The 27,244-nt window shown below is 37.5% G+C and overlaps 1 protein-coding gene across 8 annotated transcripts in view; it reads right to left on the minus strand.

Moving 5' to 3' along the window:
• CCDC181 (coiled-coil domain containing 181) overlaps positions 1-27,244 on the minus strand; it is a 65,800-nt gene that overhangs the window by 4,713 nt on the left and 33,843 nt on the right. For 5 of the 8 annotated variants that reach the window (NM_001300968.1, XM_005245383.1, XM_017001938.2 and 2 more), the window contains 3 exons: positions 25,229-25,368; positions 21,781-22,731; positions 19,431-19,577 (listed from right to left, as the gene is read on the minus strand). In NM_001300968.1, coding sequence (NP_001287897.1) covers positions 19,431-19,577; positions 21,781-22,731; positions 25,229-25,345 — 1,215 coding nt within the window. In that variant the 5' untranslated portion in view covers positions 25,346-25,368. Of the gene's footprint in view, positions 1-19,201; positions 19,578-21,780; positions 22,732-25,228; positions 25,369-27,244 lie in introns of those variants that run through there. The other 3 variants (NM_001394008.1, NM_001394007.1, NM_001394009.1) reach the window with 2 other exon arrangements.

Below are 27,244 nucleotides of genomic sequence, written 5' to 3' on the forward strand. Positions count from 1 at the left end.
ATAAAAAATTCTAAAGATAAAATATGAATTATACACATAATTAGTAATGGATTAAATTATCTGATTATAAAAAAGGATAAATGACTGAATTGGAGACTTTTGCATCCATCCATGATATCATAATTGGTATCAGATTTACCCTTCTGCCCTAATTAGCTATAAAGCTAGATAAAATGTATGCAGCAGCTTGATAACTGAGAGTAAGAAAAAACATGATATAACCCCCATATTCACCCTGGCTCTGTACTTGGTGACACTTTCCAGACAACGGTATAGGAAGGAGGAGTCATAGCATCAAGCAGTCACTAGTCTCACTGGGCTCATGAAACAGATAGGAGTCTGGGGCTGCTGAGACAGCTGAATTTCCAGGGCAGGGTACTAGAAATGAAGCAGTCATGTGGAGGGATGCTCCAAGAGTCTGTGTGGGGGTTTCCCTTGGGTCTTGGCAAGGCCTGGGCTGCACATGTGTAGAGTGAGGCTCTGTAAGGTCTAACAGAGAGTAGCTGCTGTTAATGAAGAAGATAATAAAGGTTGCATAGTTTTGGAGACATTGGAGTTCCAATCCAACTATAGTGGGAATACTTCATTGCTTACCTTGGTCAACCACTTACAACCCTAAAAAGGCCATGCTTTGGAAATAAGGGTCATGTCCTAGAGTAAGGACCATGCTCTAGGACTAAGGACAAAAGCAAAATAAACCCATCCTAACAAAGCATAAAACAAAGTCTGACAGGATCAAGAGTATTCCTTACTAATCTAACTGCCTACAAGAAAAAAATTCAATACCCTTTAAAGGAAAACAGTGTATTCTATATTTCCTTACAACTTTTATATTGAAAAGATCCACAGTCTATTAACCAATTTAAAAAAAATCACTGGATATCTAAAGAAACAAGAAAATGTGACCCATAATCCAGAGAAAGAGGCCTTCAACAGATCGATCCTAAGATGACATAGATATTGGCATTTAGATACAAACAGGTCTAATATTTAAGAAATGAAAAGATGAATATAAAAAAGGTCTAATATGTAAGAAATGAACAGGTGAATATAATGAATAAAAAGAGAATCTCAGTAAAGAAATGGAAATTTAAAAAAATAAACTGATAGGAGGATCCAAGATGGCCAAATAGGAACAGCTCCAGTCTATAGCTCCCAGCGTGAGTGATGCAGAAGACGGGTGATTTCTGCATTTCCAACTGAGGTACCGGGTTCATCTCACTGGGGCTTGTCAGACAGTGGGTGCAGCCCACAGAGCACAGTGGGGCATCGCCTCACCCAGGAAGCACAAGGGGTCGGGGAATTCCCTTTCCTAGCCAAGGGAAGCTATGACAGATGGTACCTGGAAAACTGGGACACTCCCACCCCAATACTACACTTTTCCAACGGTCTTAGCAAACGGCACATCAGAAGATTATATCCCGCACCTGGCTCAGAGGGTCCCACTCCCACAGAGCCTCACTCACTGCTAACACAGCAGTCTGAGATCAAACTGCAATGCCACAGCAAGGCTAGGGGAGAGATGTCTGCCATTGCTGAGGCTTAAGTAGGTAAACAAAGCAGCTGGGAAGCTCCAACTGGGTGGAGCTGACCACAGCTCAAGGAGGCCTGCCTGCCTCTGTAGACTCTACCTCTGGGGGCAAGACACAGCTGAACAAAAGGCAGCAGAAACTTCTGCAGACTTAAACGTCCCAGTCTGACAGCTTTGAAGAGAGTAGTGCTTTTCCCAGCACGGAGTTTGAGATCTGAGAAAGGACAGACTGCCTCCTCAAGTGGGTCCCTGACGCCCAAGTAGGCTAACTGGGAGACACCTCCCAGTAGGGGCCAACTGACACCTCATACAGCCGGGTGCCCCTCTGAGACGAAGCTTCCAGAGGAAGGATCAGGCAGCAACATTTGCTGTTCTGCAATATTTGCTGTTCTGCAGCCTCTGCTGGTGAGACCCAAGCAAACCAGGGTCTGGAGTGGACCTCCAGCAAACTCCAATAGACCCACAGGTGAGGGTCCTGACTGTTAGAAGGAAAACTAACAAACAGAAAGGACATCCACACCAAAACCCCATCTGTACATCACCATCGTCAAAGACCAAAGGTAGATAAGACCACAAAGATGGGGAGAAACCAGAGTAGAAAAGCTGAAAATTCTAAAAATCAGAGTGCCTCTTCTCCAAAGGAATGCAGCTCTTCCCCAGCAATGGAACAAAGCTGGATGGAGAATGACTTTGATGAGTTGAGAGAAGAAGGCTTCAGACAATCGGTAATAACAAACTTCTCCGAGCTAAAGAAGGATGTTTGAACCCATCGCAAAGAAGCTAAAAACCTTGAAAAAAAGATTAGACGAATGGCTAACTAGAATAAACAGTGTAGAGGAGACCTTAAATGACCCGATGGAGCTGAAAACCATGGCACAAGAACTACGCGATGCATGCACAACCTTCAGTAGCCAATTTGATCAAGTGGAAGAAAGGGTATCTGTGATTGAAGATCAAATGAATGAAATGAAGTGAGAAGAGAAGTTTAGAGAAAAAAGGGTAAAAAGAAATGAACAAAGCCTCCAAGAAATATGGGACTATGTGAAAAGACCAAATCTACGTCTGATTGGTGTACCTGAAAGTGACGGGGAGAACGGAACCAAGTTAGAAAACACTCTTCTGGATATGATCCAGGAGAACTTCCCCAAGCTAGCAAGGCAGGCCAACATTCAAATTCAGGAAATACAGCAAATACCACAAAGATACTCCTCAAGAAGAGCAACTCCAAGACACATAATTGTCAGATTTACTAAAGTTGAAATGAAGGAAAAAATGTTAAGGGCAGCCAGAGAGAAAGGTTGGGTTACCCACAAAGGGAAGCCCATCAGACTAACAGCGGATCTCTCGGCAGAAACTCTACAAGCCAGAAGAGAGTGGGGGCCAATATTCAACATTCTTAAAGAAAAGAATTTTCAACCCAGAATTTCATATCCAGCCAAACTAAGCTTCATAAGTGAAGGAGAAATAAAATACCTTACAGACAAGCAAATGCTGAGAGATTTTGTCACCACCAGGCCTGCCCTAAAAGAGCTCCTGAAGGAAGCACTAAACATGGAAAGGAACAACCAGTACCAGCCACCACAAAAACATGCCAAAATGTAAAGACCATCAAGGCTAGGAAGAAACTGCATCAACTAACGAGCAAAATAACCAGCTAACATCATAATGACAGGACCAAATACACACATAACAATATTAACTTTAGATGTAAATGGGCTAAATGCTCCAATTAAAAGACACAGACTGGCACATTGGATAAAGAGTCAAGACCCATCAGTGTGCTGTATTCAGGATACCCATGTGCAGAGACACACATAGGCTCAAAATAAAGGGAAGGAGGAAGATCTACCAAGCAAATGGAAAACAAACAAAAAAAAAAAAAAGCAGGGGTTGCAATCCTAGTCTCTGAAAAAACCAGACTTTAAACCAACAAAGATCAAAAGATACAAAAAAGGCCATTATATAATGATGGGGTATCAATCCAATGAGAAGAGCGAACTATCCTAAATATATATGCACCCAATACAGGAGCACCCAGATTCATAAAGCAAACCCTTAGAGACCTACAGAGAAACTTAGACTCCCACACATTAATAATGGGAGACTTTAACACCCCACTGTTAACATTAGACAGATCAACGAGACAGAAAATTAACAAGGATATCAAGGAATTGAACGCAGCTCTGCACCAAGCGGACCTAATAGACATCTACAGAACTCCACCCCAAATCAACAGAATATACATTCTTCTCAGCACCACATCACACTTATTCCAAAATTGACCACATAGGTGAAAGTAAAGCACTCCTCAGCAAATGTAAAAACACAGAAATTATTACAAACTGTCTCTCAGACCACAGTGCAATCAAACTAGAACGCAGGCTTAAGAAACTCACTCAAAACCGCTCAACTACGTGGAAACTGAACAACCTGCTCCTGAATGACTACTGGGTAGATAACGAAATGAAGGCAGAAATAAAGATGTTCTTTGAAACCAATGAGAACAAAGACACAACATACAAGAATCTCTGGGACACATTTAAAGCAGTGTGTAGAGTGAAATTTATAGCACTAAATGCCCACAAGAGAAAGCAGGAAAGATCTAAAATTGATACCCTAACATCACAATTAAAAGAACTGGAGAAACAAGAGCAAACACATTCAAAAGCTAGCAGAAGGCAAGAAATAACTAAGATCAGAGCAGAACTGAAGGAGATAGAGACAAAAGAAACCCTTCAAAAAAATCAATGAATCCAGGAGCTGGTTTTTTGAAAAGATCAGCAAAATCGATAGACTGCTACCAAGACTAATAAAGAAGAAAAGAGAGAAGAATCAAATAGATGCAATAAAAATTGATAAAGGGGATATCACCACCGATCCCACAGAAATACAAACTACCATCAGAGAATACTATAAACACCTCTATGCAAATAAACTAGAAAATCTAGAAGAAATGGATAAACTCCTGGACACATACACCCTCCCAAGACTAAACCAGGAAGAAGCTGAATCCCTGAATAGACGAATAACAGGCTCTGAAATTGAGGCAATAATTAATAGCCTACCAACCAAAAAAAGTCCAGGACCAGACAGATTCACAGCCAAATTCTACCAGAGGTACAAAGAGGAGCAGGTACCATTCCTTCTGAAACTATTCCAATCATCAGAAAAAGAGGGAATCCTCCCTAACTCGTTATAAGGCCAGCATCATCCTGATACCAAAGCCTGGCAGAGACACAACAAAAAAAGAGAATTTTTGACCAATACCCCTGATGAACATTGATGCAAAAATCCTCAATAAAATACTGGCAAACCAAATCCAGCAGCACATCAAAAAGCTTATCCACCATGATCAAGTGGGCTTCATCCCTGGGATGCAAGCCTGGTTCAACGTATGCAAATCAATAAACGTAATCCATCATCTAAACAGAACCAAAGACAAAAACCACATGATTATCTCAATAGATGCAGAAAAGGCCTTCGAAAAAATTCAACAGCCCTTTATCCTAAAAACTCTCAATGAACTAAGTATTGATGGGACGTATCTCAAAATAATGAGAGCTATTTATGAGAAATCCACAGCCAATATCATAGTGAATGGGCAAAACTGGAAGCATTCCCTTTGAAAACTGGCACAAGACAGGGATGCCCTCTCTCGCCACTCCTATTCAACATAGTGTTGGAAGTTCTGGACAGGGCAATCAGGCAGGAGAAAGAAATAAAGTGTATTCAATTAGGAAAAGAGGAAGTCAAATTGTCCCTGTTTGCAGATGACATGATTGTATATTTAGAAACCCCATCGTCTCAGCCCAAAATCTCCTTAAGCTGATAAGCAACTTCAGCAAAATCTCAGGATACAAAATCAATGTACAAAAATCACAAGCATTCTTATACACCAATAACAGACAAACAGAGAGCCAAATCATGAGTGAATTCTCATTCATAATTGCTTCAAAGGGAATAAAATACCTAGGAATCCAACTTACAAGGGATGTGAAGGACCTCTTCAAGGAGAACTACAAACCACTGCTCAATGAAATAAGAGGACACAAACAAATGGAAGAACATTCCATGTTCATAGATAGTAAGAATCAATATCGTGAAAATGGCCATACTGCCCAAGGTAATTTATAGATTCAATGCCATCCCCATCAAGCTATCAATGACTTTCTTCACAGAATGGAAAAAACTACTTTAAAGTTCATATGGAACCAAAAAAGAGCCCACATTGCCAAGACAATCCTAAGCAAAAAGAACAAAGCTGGAGGCATCACGCTACCTGACTGCAAACTACACTGCAAGGATACAGTAACCAAAACAGCATGGTACTGGTACCAAAACAGAGATATAGACCAGTGGAACAGAACAGAACCCTCAGAAATAATACCACATATCTACAACCATCTGATCTTTGACAAACCTCACAAAAACAAGAAACGGCGGAAGGATTCCCTATTTAATAAATGGTGCTGGGAAAACTGGCTAGCCATATGTAGAAAGCTGAAACTGGATTCCTTCCTTACGCCTTATACAAAAATTAATTCAAGATGGATTAAAGACTTAAATGTTAGACCTAAAACCATAAAAACCCTAGAAGAAAAGCTAGGAAATACCATTCAGGCCACAGGCATGGGCAAAGACTTCATGACTAAAACAAAAGCAATGGCAACAAAAGCCAAAATTGACAAATGGGATCTAATTAAAATAAAGAGCTTCTGCACAGCAAAAGAAACTACCATCAGAGTGAACAGGCAACCTACAGAATGGGGGAAAATTTTTACAATCTACCCATCTGACAAAGGGCTAATATCCAGAATTTACAAAGAGCTTAAATTTACAAGAAAAAAACAACCCCATCAAAAAATGAGTGAAGGATATGAACAGACACTTCTCAAAAGAAGACATTTATGCAGCCAACATACACATGAAAAAAGGCTCATCATCACTGGCCATCAGAGAAATGCAAATCAAAACCACAACAAGATACCATCTCACACCAGTTAGAATGGCAATCATTAAAAAGTCAGGACACAACAGGTGCTGGAGAGGATGTGGAGAAATAGGAACTCTTTTACAGTGTTGGTGGGAGTGTAAAGTAGTTCAACCACTGTGGAAGACAGTGTGGCAATTCCTCAAGTATCTAGAACTAGAAATACCATTTGACCCAGCCATCCCATTACTGGGTATATACCCAAAGGATTATAAATCATGCTGCTATAAAGACACATGCACACATATGTTTATTGCAGCACTATTCACAATAGCAAAGACTCGGAACCAACCCAAACGTCCAACAATGATAGACTGGATTAAGTAAATGTTGCACATATACACCATGGAATACTATGCAGCCATAAAAAAGGATGAGTTCATATCCTTTTTAGGGACATGGATGAAGCTGGAGACCATCATTCTGAGCAAACTATCACAAGGACAGAAAACCAAACACCGCATGTTCTCACTCACAGGTGGGCATTGAACAATGAGAACACTTAGACACAGGGTGGGGAACATCACACACCAGGGCCTGTTGTGGGGTGGAGAGAGAGCATTAAGCGATATACCTAATGTAAAGGATGAGTTAACGGGTGCAGCACACCAACATGGCACATGTATACATATGTAACAAACCTGCACGTTGTGGCACATGTACCCTAGAACTTAAAGCATAATAAAAAAGAAAAGAAAAAAAACCCACCACAAAAAAAATAAAAAAAAATAAACCAACAAACAAACACAACCTAAATTCCCTGAATGGGCTTAACAGTGGAATGAACATTGCAGAAGTACTGATGCCTCAAGATGGATCAATAGAAATGATGTAAACTGAACAAATGAAAAAAATTTTCAGTAAACAGACGTTTAGTAACATGAGATAATAGCAAGTCTTCTAACATACGTAAAATTGGATTTCCAGAAGGAGAGGAGAAAAAAGATGAGGCAGAAAAAAAAAAAAAAAAAGCCTTTGAAGAAACAGTGGCTGAGAATTTCCCAAATCTGGTACAAAACATGAACATAAAGATTCAAGAAGCTCAGCAAAACCCAGGTTAGGTAAATTCAAAGAAAATCACACATGTAATACACTTCTAAAAACCAAAGCCAGGAAAATTTTAAAGAAGCCAGAGGAAAAAGATTTATTATATACACCAGAACAATGATAAGAATGATAGCCAACCTCTGAATAGAAACAAAGGACATTGTAAAACAATTGAACATCATCTTTAAAATGCTGCAGGGGAAAAATACCTGTCAGCCTCAAATTCTATACCAAGTAAAAGGAAAAAAAAATTCTTCGGTGATTTTCCACACATTCAGTATATATGTATATATTCAGAGCAATGCCTTAAAAAAAGCATGCAGAGGCATACTTAAAAAGTATATAAGAAAATAAAAAGGACTGTTTTTTAAATACTTGATTATAAGGCAGAAAAGGATGAGTAATTGAACAAATAGATAACAAATATCAAGATGACAGATTTAAAAACTATCGATCAATAATTATAATTAAATACAGGGGTGGCTGGCAAGATGGCCAAATAGGAACAGCTCCAATCTGCAGCTCCCAGTGAGACCAACACAGAAGGCAGGTGATTTCTGCGTTTGTAACTGAGGCACTCGGCTCATCTCACTAGGACTGGTTAGACAGTGGGTGCAACCCACAGAGGGTGAGCCGAGGCAGGGTGAAGCGTCGCCTCACCTGGGAAGCTCAAGGGGTCAGGGAACTCCCTCCCCTAGCCAAGGGAAGCTGTGAGGGACTGTGCTACGAGGAACTGTGCATTATTGCCCAAATACCACCCCTTTCCCAGGGTCTTCACAACCAGGAGACCAGGAGATTCCCTTGAATGCCTACACCACCAGGGCCCTGGGTTTCAAGCACAAAACTGGGTGGCCGTTTGGGAAGACACCAAGCTAGCTGCAGGAGTTTTTCATCATACTGGAATGCCAGTGAGAGAGAACCATTCACTCCCCTGGAAAGGGGGCTAAAGCCAGGGAGCCAAGTGATCTAGCTCAGCAGATCTCACCCCCACAAAGCCCAGCAAGCTAAGATCCACTTGCTTGAAATTCTCACTGCCAGCACAGCAGTCTGAAGTCGACCTGGGACGCTCGAGCTTCTTGTGGGAAGGGGTGTCCACCATTACTGAGGCTTGAGTAGGCAGTTTTCCCCTCACAGCCAGGAAGTTGGAACTGGGCAGAGCCCACCACATCTCGGCAAAGCCAGACTGCCTCTCTAGATTACTCCTCTCTGGGCAGGGCATCTCTGAAAGAAAGGCAGCAGCCCCAGTCAGGGGCTTATAGATAAAACTCCCATCACCCTGGGACAGAGCACCTGGGGGAAGGGGTGGCTGCGGGCACAGCTTCAGCAGACTTCAATGTCCCTGCCTGCCAGCTCTGAAGAGAGCAGCGGATTTCCCAGCACAGTGCTTGAGCTCTGCTAAGGGACAGACTGCCTCCTCCAGTGGGTCCCTAACCCCCGCGCCTCCTGACTGGGAGACACCTCCCAGCAGGGGTCGAGAGACACCTCACACAGGAGAGCTCTGGAGAGTGCCCCTCTGGGACAAAGCTTCCAGAGGAAGGAACAGGAAGCAATCTTTGCTGTTCTGCAGCTTCTGCTGGTGATACCCAAGCAAACAAGGTCTGGAGAGGACCTCCAGCAAACTCCAGCAGAGTTGAAGCAGAGGGGCCTGACTGTTAGAAGGAAAACTAACAAACAGAAAGGAATAGCATCAACATCAACAAAAAGGATATCCACACAAAAACCCCATCCAAAGGTCACCAACATCAAAGACAAAAGGTAGATAAATCCATAAAGATGAGGAAAGCCCTGCGCAAAAAGGCTGAAAATTCCAAAAACCAGAATGCCTCTTCTCCTCCAAAGGATCACAACTCCTCGCCAGCAAGGGAACAAAACTGGACAGAGAATGAGTTTGACGAATTGACGGAAGTAGGCTTCAGAAGGTGGGTAATAACAAACTCCTCTGAGCTAAAGGAGCATGTTCTAACACAATGCAAGGAAGCTAAGAATCTTCAAAAAAGGTTAGATGAGTTGCTAACTAGAATAACCAGTTCAGAGAAGAACATAAATGACCTGATGGAGCTGAAAAACACAGCATGAGAACTTCGTGAAACATACACAACTATCAATAGCCAAATCAATGAAGTGGAAGAAAGGATATCAGAGATTGAAGATCAACATAATGAAATAAAGTGTGAAGACAAGATCAGAGAAAAAAGAATGAAAAGGAACAAACTTGGCCTCCAAGAAATATGGAACTATGTGAAAAGACCAAACCTACGTTTGATTGGTGTACCTGAAAGTGACAGAGAGAATGGAACCAAGTTGGAAAACACTCTTCAGGATATTACCCAGGAGAACTTCCCCAACCTACCAAGGCAGGCAAACATTCAAATTTAGGAAATACAGAGAACACCACAAAGATACTCCTCAAGAAGAACAACACCAAGACACATAATCGCCAGATTCACCAAGTTTGAAATGAAGAAAAAAATGTTAAGGGCAGCCAGAGAGAAAGGTCGGGTTACTTATAAAGGGAAGCTCATCAGACTAAGAGCAGATCTCTCTGCAGAAACCCTACAAGCCAGAAGAGAGTAGGGGCCCAATATTCAACATTCTTAAAGAATTTTCAACCCAGAATTTCATATCCAGCCAAACTAAGCTTCATAAGTGAAGGAGAAATAAAATCCTTTACAGACAAGCAAATGCTGAGAGATTTTGTCACCACCAGGCCTGCCTTACAAGAGCTCCTGAAGGAAGGACTAAATATGTAAAGGAAAAACAGATACCAACCACTGCCGAAACATGCCAATTGTAAAGACCATTGACACTATGAAGAAACTGCATCAACTAACAGGCAAAATAACCAACTAGCATCATAATGACAGGATCAAATTCACACATAACAATATTGACCTTTACTGTAAACGGGATAAATGCCCCAATTAAGAGACACAGACTGGCAAATCGGATAGAGTCAAGACCCATAGGTGTGCTGTATTCAGGAGACACATCTCATATGCAGAGACACACATAGGCTCAAAATAAAGGGATGGAGGAACATTTACCAAGCAAATGGAAAGCAAAAAAAAAAAAAAAAGCAGGGGTTGCAATACTAGTCTCTGATAAAACATACTTTAAACCAACAAAGATCAAAAAAGACAAAGAAGGGCATTACATAATCGTAAAGGGATCAATGCAACAAGAAGAGCTAACTATCCTAAATATATATGCACCCAATACAGGAGCACCCAGATGCATAAAGCAAGCCCTTAGAGACCTATAAAGAGACTTAGACACCCACACAATAATAGTGGGAGACTTTAACACCCTGCTGTCAATATTAGACAGATCGACAAGACAGAAAATTAACAAGGATATTCAGGACTTGAACTCAGCTCTGGACCAAGCGGACCTAATAGACATCTATAGAACTCTCCACCTTAAATCAATAAAATATACATTCTTCTCAGCATCACATTGCACTTATTCTAAAATTGACCACATATGGGAAGTAAAACACTCCTCAGCAAATGCAAAAGAATGCAAATCATAACAAACAGTCTCTCAGACCACAGTGCAATCAAATTAGAACTCAGGATTAAGAAACTCACTCAAAACTGCACAACTACATGGAAACTGAACAACCTGCTCCTGAATGACTACTGGGTAAATAACGAAATTAAGGGAGAAATAAATAAGTTCTTTGAAACCAATGAGAACAAAGACACAATGTACCAGATCTCTAGGATACAGCTAAAGCAGTGTTTAAAGAGAAATTTACAGCACTAAATGCCCACAGGAGAAAGCGGGAAACATCTAAAATCAACATTTTAACATCGCAATTAAAAGAACTAGAGAAGCAAGAGCAAACACATTCAAAAGCTAGCAGAAAGCAAGAAATAACTAAGATCAGAGCAGAAATGAAGGAGATAGACAAATGAAAAACCCTTCAAAAAATCAATCCAGGAGCTGGTTTTTTGAAAAGATTAACAAAATACATAGACCGCTATCCAGACTAATAAAGAATAAAAGAGAGAAGAATCAAATAGACACAATAAAAAAATGATAAAGGGGATATCACCACTGATTTCACAGAAATAGAAACTACCATCATATAATAGTATAAACACCTTTATGCAAATAAACTAGAAAGTCTAGAAGAAATGGATAAATTCCTGGACACATACACCCTCCCAAGACTAAACCAGAAATAAGTCAAATCTCTGTATAGACCAATAACAAGTTCTGAAATTGAGGCAGTAATTAATAGCCTACCAACCAAAAAAAGCCAAGGACCAGACAGATTCACAGCTGAATTCTATCAGCAGTACAAAGAGGAGCTGGTACCATTACTTCTGAAACTATTCCAAACAACAGAAAAAGAGGGACTCCTACCTAACTTATTTTATGAGGCCAGCATCATCCTGATACCAAAGCCTGGCAGAGACACAAGAAAAGAAAATTTCAAGCCAATATCCCTGATGAACATCAATGTGAAAATTCGCAATAAAATACCAGCAAACCAAATCCAGCAGCACATGAAAAAGTTCAACATCAAGTCAACTTCATCCCTGGGATGCAAGGCTGGTTCAACATATGCAAATCGATAAACATAATCCATCATATAAACAGAAACAATGACAAAAACCACACAATTATCTCAATAGTTGCAGAAAAGGCCTTCGATAAAATTCAACAGCACTTCATGCTAAAAACTCTCAATAAACTAGGTACTGATGGCACGTATCTCAAAATAATAAGAGCTATTTATGACAAATCCATAGCCAATATCATACTGAATGGGCAAAAGCTGGAAGCATTCCCTTTGAAAACTGGCATAAGACAAGGATGCCCTCTCTCACCACTCCTATTCAACATAGTATTGGAAGTTCTGGCCAGGGCAATCAGGCAAGAGAAAGAAATACAGGGTATTCAAGTAGGAAGAGAGGAAGTCAAATTGTCTCTGTTTGCAGATGATATTATTGTATGTTTAGAAAACCCCATCATCTTAGCCCAAAATCTCCTTAAGCTGATAAGCAACTTCAGCAAAGTCTCAGGATACAAAATCAACGTGCAAAAATAACAAGCATTACGATACAGCAGTAGTACAAACAGAGCCAAATCATGAGTGAATTCCCATTCACATTGCTACAAAGAGAATAAAATACCTAGCAATACAACTTACAAGGGATGTGAAGGACCTCTTCAAGGAGACCTACAAACCACCACTCAAGGAAATAAGAGATGACACAAACAAATGGAAAAACATTCCATGCTCATGGACAGGAAGAATCAATATTATGAAAATGGCCATACTGCCCAAAGTAATTTACTGATTCAATGCTATCCCCATCAAGCTACCATTGACGTTCTTCACAGAATTAGAAAAAACTTCTTTAAAGTTCATATGGAACAAAAAAAGAGCCTGCATAGCCAAGATAATCTAAAGCAAAAAGAACAAAGCTGGAGGCATCATGGACCTGACTTCAAACTATACTACAAGGGTACAGTAACCCAAACAGCATGGTACTGGTACCAAAACAGATATATAGACCAGTGGAACAGAACAGAGGACTCAGAAATAATGCCACCCATCTACAACCACCTGATCTTCGACAAACCTGACAAAAACAAGAAATGGGGAAAGGATTCCTTATTTAATAAATGGTGCTGGGAAAACTGGCTAGCCATATGCAGAAAACTGAAACTGTACCCCTTCCTTACATCTTATACAAAAATTAACTCAAGATGGATTAAAGATTTAAACAGAAGACCTAAAACCATAAAAACCCTAGAAGAAAACCTAGGCAATACCATTCAGGACACAGGCATGGGCAAAGACTTTATGACTAAAACACCAACAGCAATGGCAACAAAAGCCAACATTGACAAATGGGATCTAATTAAACTAAAGAGCTTCTGCACAGCAAAAGAAACTATCATCAGAGTGAACAGGCGACCTACAGAATGGGAGAAAATTTTTGCAATCTATCCACTAGACAAAGGGCTAATATCCAGAATCTACAAGGAACTTAAATTTACAACAAAAAACAAACAACCCCATCAAAAAGTGGGCAAAGGATATGAACAGACAATTCTCTAAGAAGACATTTATGCAGCCAATAGACATATGAAAGAAAGGTCATCATCACTGGTATTAGAGAAATGCAAATCAAAACCACAATGAGATACCATCTCCCACCAGTTAGAATGGCGATCATTAAAAAGTCAGGAAACAATAGATGCTGGAGAGGATGTGGAGAAATAGGAATTCTTTTACAGTGTTGGTGGGAGTGTAAATTAGTTCAACCACTGTGGAAGACAGTGTGGTGATTCCTCAAGGCTCTAGAACCAGAAATACCATTTGACCCAGCAATCCCATTACTGGATTATATACCCGAAGGATTATAAATTATTCTACTATAAAGACACATGCACATGTATGTTTATTGAGGCACTATTCACAATAACAAATACTTGAAACCAACCCAAATGCCCATAAATGACAGACTGGAGAAAGAAAATGTGGCAGTTATATACCATGGAATAGTATGCAGCTATAAAAAAGGATGAGTTCATGTCCTTTGCAGGGACATCAATGAAGCTGGAAGCCATCATTCTCAACAAACTAACACAGGAATAGAAAACCAAACACTGCATGTTCTCACTCATAAGTGGAAGTTGAACAATGAGAACACATGGACACAGGGAGGGGAACATCACACACTGGGGCCTGTCGGAGGGTGGGGGGCTAGGGGAGGGATAGCATTAGGAGAAATACCTAATGTAGATGACGGGTTGATGGGTACAGCAAATCACCATGGCACGTGTCTACTTATGTAACAAACCTGCACTTTCTGCACACGTATCCCAGAACTTAAAATATAATTAAAAAAAATAATTAAATACAAGTGAATACTAAGTATAAGGAGTGGACTGCTGGACTGGAAGATTCAAATATATGACGTCTGCACAAGCCATTTTAAATATAAAGCCACAGATACATTGAAAGTAAAATATGAAAAAAGTTATACCATGCAAATGGTAAGCATAACAACACTGATGTGGCTACATTAACCTCAGCCAAAACAGACTTCAGGATATGAGGGACATTTCATAATGGGAAAAGGTCATTATCAGGAAGACATAAAGTCCTAAATGTATACCCACAACACTTGAAAATACATGAAGCAAAACTCAACAGAACCAAAGGAGAAATAGGCAAGGGCACAATGATAGATGAAATTATTAACACTATTTTCTAAGTAATTCATAGGAAAAATGGGGGAAGACAATAAGCATGCAGAAGATCTTAACAACACTATCAACCAACTAGACTATATTGACATTAATACAGCACTACATCCAATGCAGAATACACAAGGTATACAAGTACCCATGGACGGTTAACATAGATAGACTATATACATACATACATTTTCATGTGTGTGTATACATATATATCACTGAGCAAGAGAAGCAAATTTCAAAACAACGTTGGAAAGACATTTTTAGCTATTTTTCCTAAAAATGGCAATAAAAATTACATCACCTAAGATCTTTTATCCATCTAATGTAAAAAAGGTCATTCCACAATCTATAAATCTAAAGATATTTTCTGGAAACTATGACTCACATTATACACAATGTCCCACAGAAATAATCAACATAATGCACTTATTATAGCAATGTATTAATAAGCCAAATTAATCAACTACCAAATTGTGCTATATTTCAGCTTGAGTAGAGACAAAGCTCATAAAAGTACTTCAGAATACTATTAGTTTGTGATACTATTTCTCATTAAAATATATTTTTGAGACAAACTTGAAATGTAGCAAAAAATACTACATATTCAAAATAAATATTCAAAGGGAAATATATAACCATGATGTCTTCTACATAAAATTTTTTGAAATAAATTATGTTCAATATGACTCATGTTTTCTGAGAATACAATCCAAGATTACTATTTACTATGTACAAATACAGCACAATTATGTGCAAATATTGCACAATATACTGTACATTTATTTTTGCAAATACCCCATTTAAAAAATTATAATACTTGGAATGCCATGAGGCCTGAAGGCCCATCATCGTCCAAGAAGCTATCAGCAGTATGGCCATAGCTGTGTTTTCCGTGGTCACTGACTGAAACATAAACTCCTCTTGTCTTCTATACCTGTAATCACTACAGCAATATGCTGTGCTGCTTCTTCACCCAATCCCAAATTCCTCCTGTCCTTCATAACCCTTGTTAGTTCTCTGTAATTCCTACTCAATGATATAAAAACTCCCAAACAACATCCATCCTCCCAAGTCACTGAAAGGGATCTGGCCCTAAATTTCCTATCTTATGCAAATTCTGATTCTCCCCCAAGCCACATCTTCTCTGAAACAGAGGCTGCATTTTCTACCATACTTCAAGTACTTCGGTGGTCAGACAAATAAATTAATATTCTCTTCATTCCCCCATACGTCTTCTGAATTGTATTTCTGTTTTCCTGAGAAAACCCATCCTCCTTTGACATTTGTATCATTTGGCTCTATTAAAAATAGTTATGTAACCACCTCTGATCACTCCTGACTCAATATTCCTCTCCATGCCAGTCCCAAGGTATATTTTTAACTACATAGAAGAGCCATTGAACATCCACCCCCAAAGACCTTTGATTCTCTCATCTTCTACGTCTTTCTCCATTACACTTGCCACGTATTTCTATGGCCATATCCTCATCACACAAACTACTCCACCTCTGAAATCGCTAATTTCCTATCTCCAGTCCCAACTTTTCTCCTGAAAACCGGATAAATTTCTCCAACTAATCTTCAATATCTTCATCTGGATATTTTGTGCATACCTGAAACTCAACAACTTAAATTGGTCACCCCTCCCACGAGGAGTTTTCAGTAGGCTTAAGTAGATTCCAGCTGAGAAGCTGTAAGAATCGTGTTCTAGGGTTGGGACGCTAGGCCCCAGTGGCCTAGATTTTCTAGTGGGATCTTCTGATCCATGGGTTGCACAGTTCTGTGGAAAAAGCACAGTTTCCCCTTCTGGGTAGCGTGCTCATTCACTGCCTCCCTTTGCTGGGGGTAGGGGGTTCTCCTTTCCCATGTAGCTCTCAGGTGGGCCACGCACTACACTGCTCTTCCTTCTGTCCATGGGTCACGCCAGCCTTCTAGTCAAGTTTGATGAGAGAACCTGGATACCTTGGTTGCCAGTGAAGGATTCACATGCTTATTATGTTTTTTTCCGATAGGAGCCTCTGAGCCCCCCTGCTTCTAGTCAGCCATCTTGGCCCCGTCACTCCTATTATTTTTACCTCATTTCCTTTTCTTAATGAATTGGATTGAAACACCAGAATACAGTTATTTAATATAGAACCTTACATGTTTCTGATTGTAACAGGTATGCCTAGAGTATTTCCCCATTATAGTGTTTATTATCCGCATTTTATTAGGAATTTTTAAAAAGAAATTATACCTTTGCTATATCTTTCAAGATAATATTCTTTTATCTACTTACTGATGTGATGAATGATATTAGTACATGTTATTACTGATCCATAATTTCCTTCCTAAATCTTACTCAGTGTATTATTATTTTACTATATGGTATCAGTCAAATTTCTCCATATTTCCTCTTTTAGTTTATGTTTTTTCTGCCTTGCCTGTGAAAGTACTGCCCATCCCAAGATTTTAAAAAGCTAAAAACTTCCACAAATGGCATAATAAACACTGTAACAAAAAATATATTGTCAGACTAGGAAAATATATAACATATATAATAGACAAAGGATCAAAATCTCTCATATACCACTTAGATAATAAAAACCAAACTAAAAAAGGAAAAAGATTATAAACAGGAAATTCACAGAATAATACACACGCTATATAAATAGAAAAACCAATTGGTTTTCCTTCTCATTCACACTCAACACAGAATACTTCACCTCTGGTTACCAAAATGGGGAAGGGTTCCCACTTCCCACACTGACAAGTTTAACACCAGCTGGGTATCCTACAATTTAATCCGATTCTGATAATATATCCCTGGAGTTAGCATCAAATCCCATGGGTTAAGGGCTCAATCCCTCAAGATTGCCTCCACTTCAGATATCAATCAAAAGCCTAGATTGTGACCAGAGCTTCTGTCTGACCAGCTATATATTGCCAGGGTGGGGAGTGGTGGGAACATGACCCTCTCCTCAGGTTTGATTAATTTGCTAGAGCAACTCACATAACTCGAGGAAACACATTTACAAGTTTATTAATAAAGAATATAATAAAAGACACAGATGAAGAGCTACACAAGGCAAAGTATTTGGGAAGGGGTGTGAAGCTTCCATGCCCTCTTGGGGGCACACCACCCCCCCAACACCACATTTCCCATACCCTAGAAGCTCTCTGAACCCTGCAGCTTGGGGATTTTTATAAAGGCTTCATCACATAGTTATTGAGATTATTAACTCAATCTCTAGCCCCTTCCCCCTTCCTAGAAGAAAGGAGTTAGAACTGAAAGTTCCGGGCTTCTAATCATGGCTTAGTCTTTCTGGCAGCCAGCACCTAACCAGGAGCCCACCAAGAGTCATCTTATTAGAACAAAGAGAGTCCTATCACCTAAGAAGTTCCAAGGAATTAGCAGCTGTTTGTCAGAAGCCAGGATAAAAGCTCAGTTATTAGAACAAGAGATACATGTAGAACCCCCATCACTCAAGAAATTAAAAAGGTTTTAGGAGCTGTGTGCCAAAAACTAGGGGTAGAGACCTATATCTATCTCTTATTATTTCTCACACATGCTCATATACAAGCATGTATATTATTAATTTGAAGGAAAAATAAGATGATAACCCACATACAGTGTTAGTCATTCACTCTCACACACCGTTGGAGGAACAGGTATAACATTTACTCTCACACACTGTTGGAGGAACTATAAATTCATATTATCTTTTGGGAGGTTACTTTTGCATCTTTAACGAAACATTTCACTCTAAGCCTTCAAACATTTTAAATTCACCTCTGAAGAACTTCTCCTACAGATTACTGATGTTCCCATAGAATGTACCTCTTCACTACAGCACTGTTAACTAACGCAACATTGGAACCAACCTAAATATCTACAAATGAAGAATGGCTTAATAAATTAACACTGTAATACCATGCAGCTATTTGAAAAAGAGAGATTTAAATGTAATGGCTTAGAAAGAGTTCCATGATGAAGTGAAAAAAAACTGAATAAAACTTTTGACATGTAAATATATAAATATAAATAAGATATAAAAGGATTTGCACCACGCTGTTAAAAGTGGTTATCACTGGAGATGAGCCTGGAGGAGCTTAGGGTTAAATTTTCTTTTTTTCTTTTTTTTTAAATTTTATTATTATTATACTTTCAACTTTACATATATATCTTTTTTTAGTAAGAATATGAATGATTTTTAAATTTTCTCTATTTTCTGTTTTAGTTTTTTTAATTCTTTTAAATTAAATAATTTGGTGTCTTTAATTTGCTAAAGATTTACATAATATTTCTATACGTCTAGTCTTAAGTGAGACCAGTCTCTAGGGTTTTGTGGGGGGGTGTGTGTGTATCTTTGCCCTGTTTGAATAACAAAGTTACACCTTGAAAAAACGAATTGATAGTTTTCTGTTTTCTGTTCCATCAAAGTCTGAACAAAATAGGAATCATTTTATTTTCACAAGACCTCTTAGAACCTAATTGTAGTTATCTGCATGTTGCATCTTTTGCAAGGGTAGTTCTTGAACAACTTTTCTACTTCTTCCATAGGCTGTTAGTCTGATATCCAGACTCCCTTCTATAAATAAGTTCAGCTTTCATATCTGTATGAACTTATTTTTCAGAGAAGTTTTACTTACTCTACTGTTCATGTCTTCAATTTCCTTTGCTCGCTGAATTCTCCTCATTTCTAAGACCTGCTCTCTTTTCTTTTGCAACCACGCTTTAAATACTATGTCATTCTCTCTCTTTTTTTCTTTCTCTTCTTCTATTTTTCGTCGCTCTTCCTAGTAAAAGAATATGAAAAGACATTAATGGAAGATTAATAAAATTGTATGAGTTATCAGAGTAGAGAGATATATTTTGAGATCTGAAATTAGGATTCCCTGACCCTAAAACTTTCCATCAGAAAACTGGTCCTTCTAGGCCAGACACGGTGGCTCATGCCTGTAATCCCAGCACTCTGGGGGGCCGAGGCAGGCAGATCACTTGAGGTCAGGAGTTCGAGACCAGACTGGCCAACATGGTGAAAACCCATCTCTACCCAAAATACAAAAATTAGCTGGGCTAATTTAACAAGTTCATAGTAAAATTTTCTTCAAATAATGGAATTCTAAGTGTTTTCCTTACATTTTGACAATATAGCAAGACTTTCTAATTCCTTTTGATTGAACAGAAGGAAGGGAGGAAAGGAAAATTCTACCAAACAGCATAAAATATATTTGAGAATACCTATATACTATTTTCTGAGCCCTAAAGTAGCCTGTATTATAGGAAATATAAATGAATTTATTAAGAATTAAATTTTACATTATTTATACATTTCCATTTCACACAAAGGACTTTGGATGCCTTGCATGAATACAGTATGACAAACGATGATTATCTTTCCAAGGGGAACATTCAGGTATATTACACAGAAGCTATCAGCCAAAGCACTGATAACGGAGTTGCCAAAGAGAACACTGAAATGATGCACTTAGGTTAGAAAGACAGAGTATAGCAGCCCAACCCAGAAAATATGGGCATAAAAAAGCAAAGCCTTCCCCTGAAACCAACTAAAACATGTTAAAAGCCTTAGTACTTGAAGACCATGCCTTGAGCCAAGTTAGTTATAGGATACAATAAAAGTGTATTTCAGAACAAAGAGTGTGTGACATTCAGAAAAGAGAATCCAAATGAAAACAGAATTATCCATCCTTCACACCAGTTAAAGACTAACATCAGTTCATTAATAAAAAGGCAGTGACAACTATATAAAATCACCTGTATAACTTTTGTAAAAATATACACATACCTACACATTTGTGTATAGCAAACATATAGATGTCATTCTCAAAAAATTATTTTGTATTGTCACCAAATTCCTATACTTTCAAGTGTTTTTATACCTGAATCAAGTAAACTTAGTTTGACTATTAGAGCTATTAGTGACCAAGTGAACGAAGCTCTATAAGCTTGCACCCTTTTAGGTTCTTATCTGAGTGTGCTAGAGGTTACACGTTCTTACGAAGTCATGTTTCACTTTTTTTTTTTTTTTTTGCTAATGCCAATTCCTGATTTAAATGCCAGATATTTCCCTGATAATTTCCCATATAAAGTAGATAACACACCATTTCTCAAGGGTGCCAGAGAACTGGAAATTTTTATTCCAGTTTGCTACTAACAAGTACAGATATACCTTGGTAAAGTTATTTAAACTTTCTAAGGTTTTCTTATCTGCAAAATGATCTGTAAGGTCACTTCTCATGTATTATCTGCTGAGCTTTGTATTTAGAATTAGACATTTTGTATGGCTCAGCTTAATACCATTAGGTTTCCAGTAAAACAAAGAATTGGAGCACTGACATAAGTAATTCTGAGAAAACTCACCAGTTTAAGTCCTGGAATTTTCAATTATAAGATACATAGAGTTTCACATAAGAACAAATATGAAAAACAAAAAAAATTAATTTGGGATTCTATATGGCATTTTGGAGACATTTCGTTAAGAATATTAGGCTATATTCTTAATCTGAAACTAAACTCCTGGAAATAAAAGAATTGTAAGCATAGAACATAACATGAAACACATGCAAATAAAAGAATTATAGTCCAAGTCTTCCTGTTGCCTCCTAAACCTCTACACTTTATGCCTTCATTTTTCCATCTGACATTTTATTTTTACCTATCATATCAAGATTACTTTCAGCAGTCACTTAACGTCTCATGAGTCTCACCTTTAAAATGAAAGGATCAGATGAAGTCATCACTGAGATCTCCGCTAACACAGATCAGTCTACTATTCTTTGTGATCCTTACAAGGACCAAAGTAATCACTGTGTTCATTCCATAAATGCACATTCTTAACACTTAATCAATCTAACAATAGATAAATAAAGCAATCAAAAAAAGTCTCCAATGGTTTGAACAACTGTTTTAATTCCCATTGCATTTATAAAACAGTAAAACATACTCTACTTTTAATATAATGCCCACTTAGGTTCTCACCTCTCTTTTCAGTTTTTCTCTCTTTTCTTCTAGTTGTTTTTGTAGTTCTTTCTGTCGAGGGGAAAGACAGTATGTTGAAGTCACTGGTGAGATATGTGCAGACTGTGTCCTGTGATTAGATTTCCCATTCCCTTTACTTCGATCTGAGTTGACAGCAGAGCTTGGACAAGTCTTGCGGTTGAGTGGTGGCTGAGCGATATAAGCCAGCGGCTCTCCTGTTGATGAGTGAGTGACAGCATGAATCTTTGCTGTAGAATCTTCTTTCTTGGTGCCACTGACAGAGGAGTTGGAAGATCTGGGTAACAACTGCTGAGGGTCATTTTCTGTACTATTTGCATTATTAATGGGAGGCAAAAACCCCTGACTGGCAATGTCTTGTAAATTCAGAAGTTCAAATTTTCCATCTCTCTCTACCAGTATTGTCCTATCCTTGTTTTCTTCACAGCTTCCATTAGTAAGTGACAGGAGCACATCTTCTTGTCCAAAATCATTGGAAATACATAATTGTGACAGTTTCCCAAACATATTCCTTTCGTTTTCAAAATAATTTTTAAAAGTAGTAGTGTCTTCTAGTGGAGGAACTTCCAAATCAACTAACTGGTCCTTGAACTTAAGTTTTCGCTCCCTTTTATCATTCACCGGTTCTTGATTCTGTAGAAGCTTGTTAGCTTGTACAATTTTCTCCATAATATATCTCCTTACTTCCTCATCCTCTTCCTCCTCCAAGTCTTTCTGGCTTTCTAGTTTGGATTCCTGGAAAGAGTTTTCACTATCTGAATCTGATATGGGATCCAAAGGTTGAATACCTGGTACAGAAATGATGTCATTTCTTCTTGGTGAGACCTCATCCTGCAAAGATTTGTCAGGATCAGAATGCCGTTTGGTGTGCTCCATTACTGTCTCATTCTCTTTTAAGTCTTGGTTAATATTCTCTTCCTTCTCACAAGCCATCTAAAAACAAGATATTTTTCAGTCAAAATTGAGATTCTTCATTTATAAGTAGACATACAAAATGGGATTTTTCCTGTTCATGTAATTTATTTTATGAATGGGAAAATTTAAGTGTTTATTGCTCATAATTTGCTCATAACATTCTAATTCATACTTATGAGTATCCAAGGGAAATAATGTGACAGCAATGCAGGAAAAATTCAACTTTAAATTTGAATTTGATGTAGCTAAGTGCTACATTGATTTTTAAACATTTTTATGCTAATGTATCAAAAGGTAACTACAAATAACAATATTAATATTCCTTCCCCTATAAAATTTTCCTCTCTTTACATTTTCAGAAAAACAATTTTCAAAAATCTTTCCTCCTTGTAATATTTGCATTCTTCAATCAAACAGCTTTCTCCCCAGACCATTTCAAGGATGAATTATTTGGTCAGGTCCTAATCACTTGAGGTTCTTTTAATCTTTTCAGACTATTATTATCACTATAATCTGCAGGACCTATCTAAATTCCAGGTCAATTTTTACCTCTAGATCAGATTTCCCTTCTTCAACTATACTCAGAGATTTCAGAAATCCATGCTAACCACCATCAGATAACTTGGCCTTAAATTAAAAAAAGTTAATTCCACATGAACCATAAACCAGTATCAGTGCAGCACAAAACTCCACTTCTGCTGTATCTAACTAAAAGCTTATATATATAAAAATATAATAGATATAATATATAAATGTATATAAATATTTTATATATATATATATTTTTTCTCTTTGTCAAAGTTCTCTCCCTCCTAAAGCAGTTCTATGGGAGCTACTACATGCTTCTCTCTTCAACCCCTTAAAATCACTTTCCTCCTTCATTTGCTCATAGGTCATCCTGTGTGATAGTGAAGGTCATCTTGTCTGATAGTCAGATGTCTAATAAGCAAATAAACCTGGCCCATTTAAATGACTGCCAAATAACTATGATTTAACTAAGAGCTCTGTATCACAAGTGTTCATTTTAGCCTTATTTGTTTCTCTAGTTGACTCTTTTTTATTTTTCCAATATCATGAGGATGGCAGATCTCTGGTTCATTCTTATAGTCTCTGTTTCTGAACTCTCCTTTAGCTTTTCTTTTCTTTTCTTTTGAAAACCCACTTTTTACAAAAAAATCTTCCCCTGACCCTCTTATGTGTCTCTAGCTCAGTCATCCCCTTTTCCCAAAAGCCTCAAAAGAAGAGGTTGTTATAATCATCCGCTGGAATGTGTAAGATTCATAACAGCACTTTTATTTTATTCCTGCTATATATATCCCTAGCACCTAGAACAGCCTCTGATATGATAGGTGATCATTAATACTTGTTGAATTAGAAAATAAAACAATAAATCATCCCTATTACCTCTCTAATTCTATCGCACTGTGCTTTGGATCTCACACCCTTCCAGTCTTGAGAAATTGGTTCAACCTTACCACTCTGGGTATCTGCCTCTACTCATTCTGCTTATTTTTCTGTTAGGATGCATAAAACTCCCATTTAAAAGCCATCTTAGAAAAATCTTCACTTTTGACTCTGTTTCCATCTTCAAACATTGTGTATTCCATTTGTCTTTTCCATTATATAAGAAAGCAAAATGGAACTAAGAAATCTGTAATATAAAACCTGCATTTCCTCATAGTCTTTTCCTTAACACCTTTAAAACTGGCTTCTGCTATAACTCTGATCATTATCCCTCCAAAGTCACCTATTTATATCCTAGTGTTATTCCTTTTTCTACTTATTGACACTAACTTATGTATATACATATATATACACACATACATATGCATATATACATATATATGTTTTACAGAAATACATATACACATTATACACATGTAAAGAGAGAGAGAAATAACCTACCTTGATGCAGGAACTGGTTAATTTTCCTGGAGTTCCTTTCTTCATCTCTGATAAATAGTATATGACCATGCTTAATGCATCCACTTTTCCTAGGAGTATTCCTGTGACTCAGACTTTGACCCTTTACTTTGTTCTCTATATTCATTGCCAAGAAGAGCTAATTCAGTCTTAAAGTTTTAAATATTAGCTAAAAGGTCATGTGTTTAGAGGATTTGCTTTATTTTTCATTTATTTTAATAGCATAACCCCATGATTTTACCCAAGTTCACAGAAAGTAGGAATTAACTGTATTTTTTACTTTCGATGCAATAAATCATGATTTTACTATTTATTTATATTATTTAAATTATAATTTTATAATGGTCACTTTAGTTTATTAAATGCTAGCGTAATAACTGTTCTCTCACTAACCTGCCCTATGCCTTAGGATACAACATTTAAGCAATCTACGCCTCATTTTTCTTATCTTTAAGATGAGGATAATAGTAATTTGCCCAATGTAGATCAAAGAAATTTTGTGATGTTTAGATGAGATAATAATGTGAAAACCTTAAAGAATTGCAAAGCACTTTGTAATATAATTATTATGAATGCTGTTGGCAATATATACCTCTATTATGCTGGCATCACTTTTTTCATTTTCATTAATTAACCACTCCAGGTCCTTTTCAAAGTCATCTTCGTATTCTTCACTTTTCTTTGAATCAGTATCTTTATTTTCATTCATTTTCTGTTTGTGAAGGAAATATGCTGTAAGATTTTAAAAGATAAGGTATATGTTATGCCCACTCTAGAGGAGGAATGGAGTATGGAGATTAATGCTGTAGGTAAGCTAATTAACACAGAGAAACACAAAATAGAATGTTCAAAATGAACATGCACTTGAATACACCATGAAAGAGAGATCTGCAATGGCAAGACATTTCCATAGGTAAACATTCCTAAAAACTCTCCCACCTTCCCCCTGTTCCCCAAATAGTTATTGATGTTGGTTCCTTTTCCCTCTCAAGATAAAGTTAATTTTTGGTACACTTTAGGTATGCTGAATTAATAAATAATCCACCAGCTGTTTTAGCCATTAGCTTCGCTTTGTTCTCCCCAAACCTTTGGCCAGACTAAGTTATTACTGAATAATAACTGTTATTCAACTTAATTATTATTCAAAAATAACTGTTAATTGTTCAACTGGATAATTATTGTTTTTTTCTAAACTATTCATTGGACTATAATTCTTTCTAGATACTTATTTATTTTAAACTAAAAACACAAAATAGATTTGCTAAAGGACTCAAAAGTAAGCCCTTCAATAATTTCTAAATCAGGTTGAGCACAAATTTTGAAGTGATCTGGAGAAATCAAGTCAACACTTCAGAGTGAGTTTCACTTCCTAACTGCAAGACAAGCTAAATTGCTTAAGCTATTATATCTAACTACCTACCAATTAAAAGCAAGGGCACCATGAATGATACAGAATAAAACTCACTGTAATCCGAAATACTTACAGTAAAAATAGTACTTTTCACAGTCACAATGCCTTGGAATAATCAGTTTTCTTTTCAGAGCAGGGATCTTGAAATTTATTATTTTAAGATGTTTGAGTTACATAAATATTATAAGAATATTTCTTTGGAACTCTTCAGTGCTTTCCCTTATTTTATGATAAACATAGTTCTGAACTTATAAATAAATGGTTGCCTGAAGACTTTAGTAGATATGTTTTATTGTTTACAGAGAATCACACACACATGAAAACTAAAATTTAAAATGAAAACATAAAATCTGTATAATAAAAGCACAGTAATTAAAAATTTAACAGGTTAGGGGTCTTTAAGTCATACTATTATGCCATAATTCAAAGGAAAAAAAAGCCATAGTTAAGGTAACTCTGAGAAGTAAATTAAGTCACATCAAATCTGAAGTGCAATTCTTTTGTTGTAACTTAAAAACAAAAAAACACCCTCATGGCCGGTTCTCAAGTAAACAAAGAACATAAATTACAAACTCTGGTTATCAAATCCCTTAAGCCTTTTTCAAATGCGTCACAGGATATTCAACCCCTTCAATTCTTTTAATCTTCATCACCAGGGTACTGTCCATATGGTACAGAATCAACAAGCTAGAACAAAAATACATCTTATACAAACAAAATCACTTAACACTTCCTACTTTATGCTTGTGAGTTTCACACATTTAAATTTCAACATTTATCATCAGTAAAAATCTAGGTAAACGGCTTAGACCAGCTCTACCCTCTTAATACGGAACTGTAGTAAGAGACGGAAATAAATTCCTTCCTCCCTGAGTGTCTGGTAAATCCCATGTGGATAGGTGAACTGCCGATCTTTCAGTAGGAGTCTTAAACCAAGTCCACATGTATACATAATTTTGATAACTTTCTTCCAGAATTCAGGATATTCAAAAATAGTTTAAATAATTGGGTCCCATCTTACAGCGTTTTAAACATATGCTTGCTTAAAAATCTAAGAACTGAAAGCATGTCAAAGAGAATGCCTTTTAATATAAAGTAAGTACTTAAGCAAAAACTAATCCATACATCATGAAACCATCTGGCCCATTATTCCTGTGTATCCTGCCAAGACTGTGATCCTATAAGTAAGTTTTTAAA

The sequence above is a fragment of the Homo sapiens genome, chromosome 1 (genome assembly GCF_000001405.40).
Source record: "Homo sapiens chromosome 1, GRCh38.p14 Primary Assembly".
NCBI lineage: Eukaryota > Metazoa > Chordata > Mammalia > Primates > Hominidae > Homo > Homo sapiens.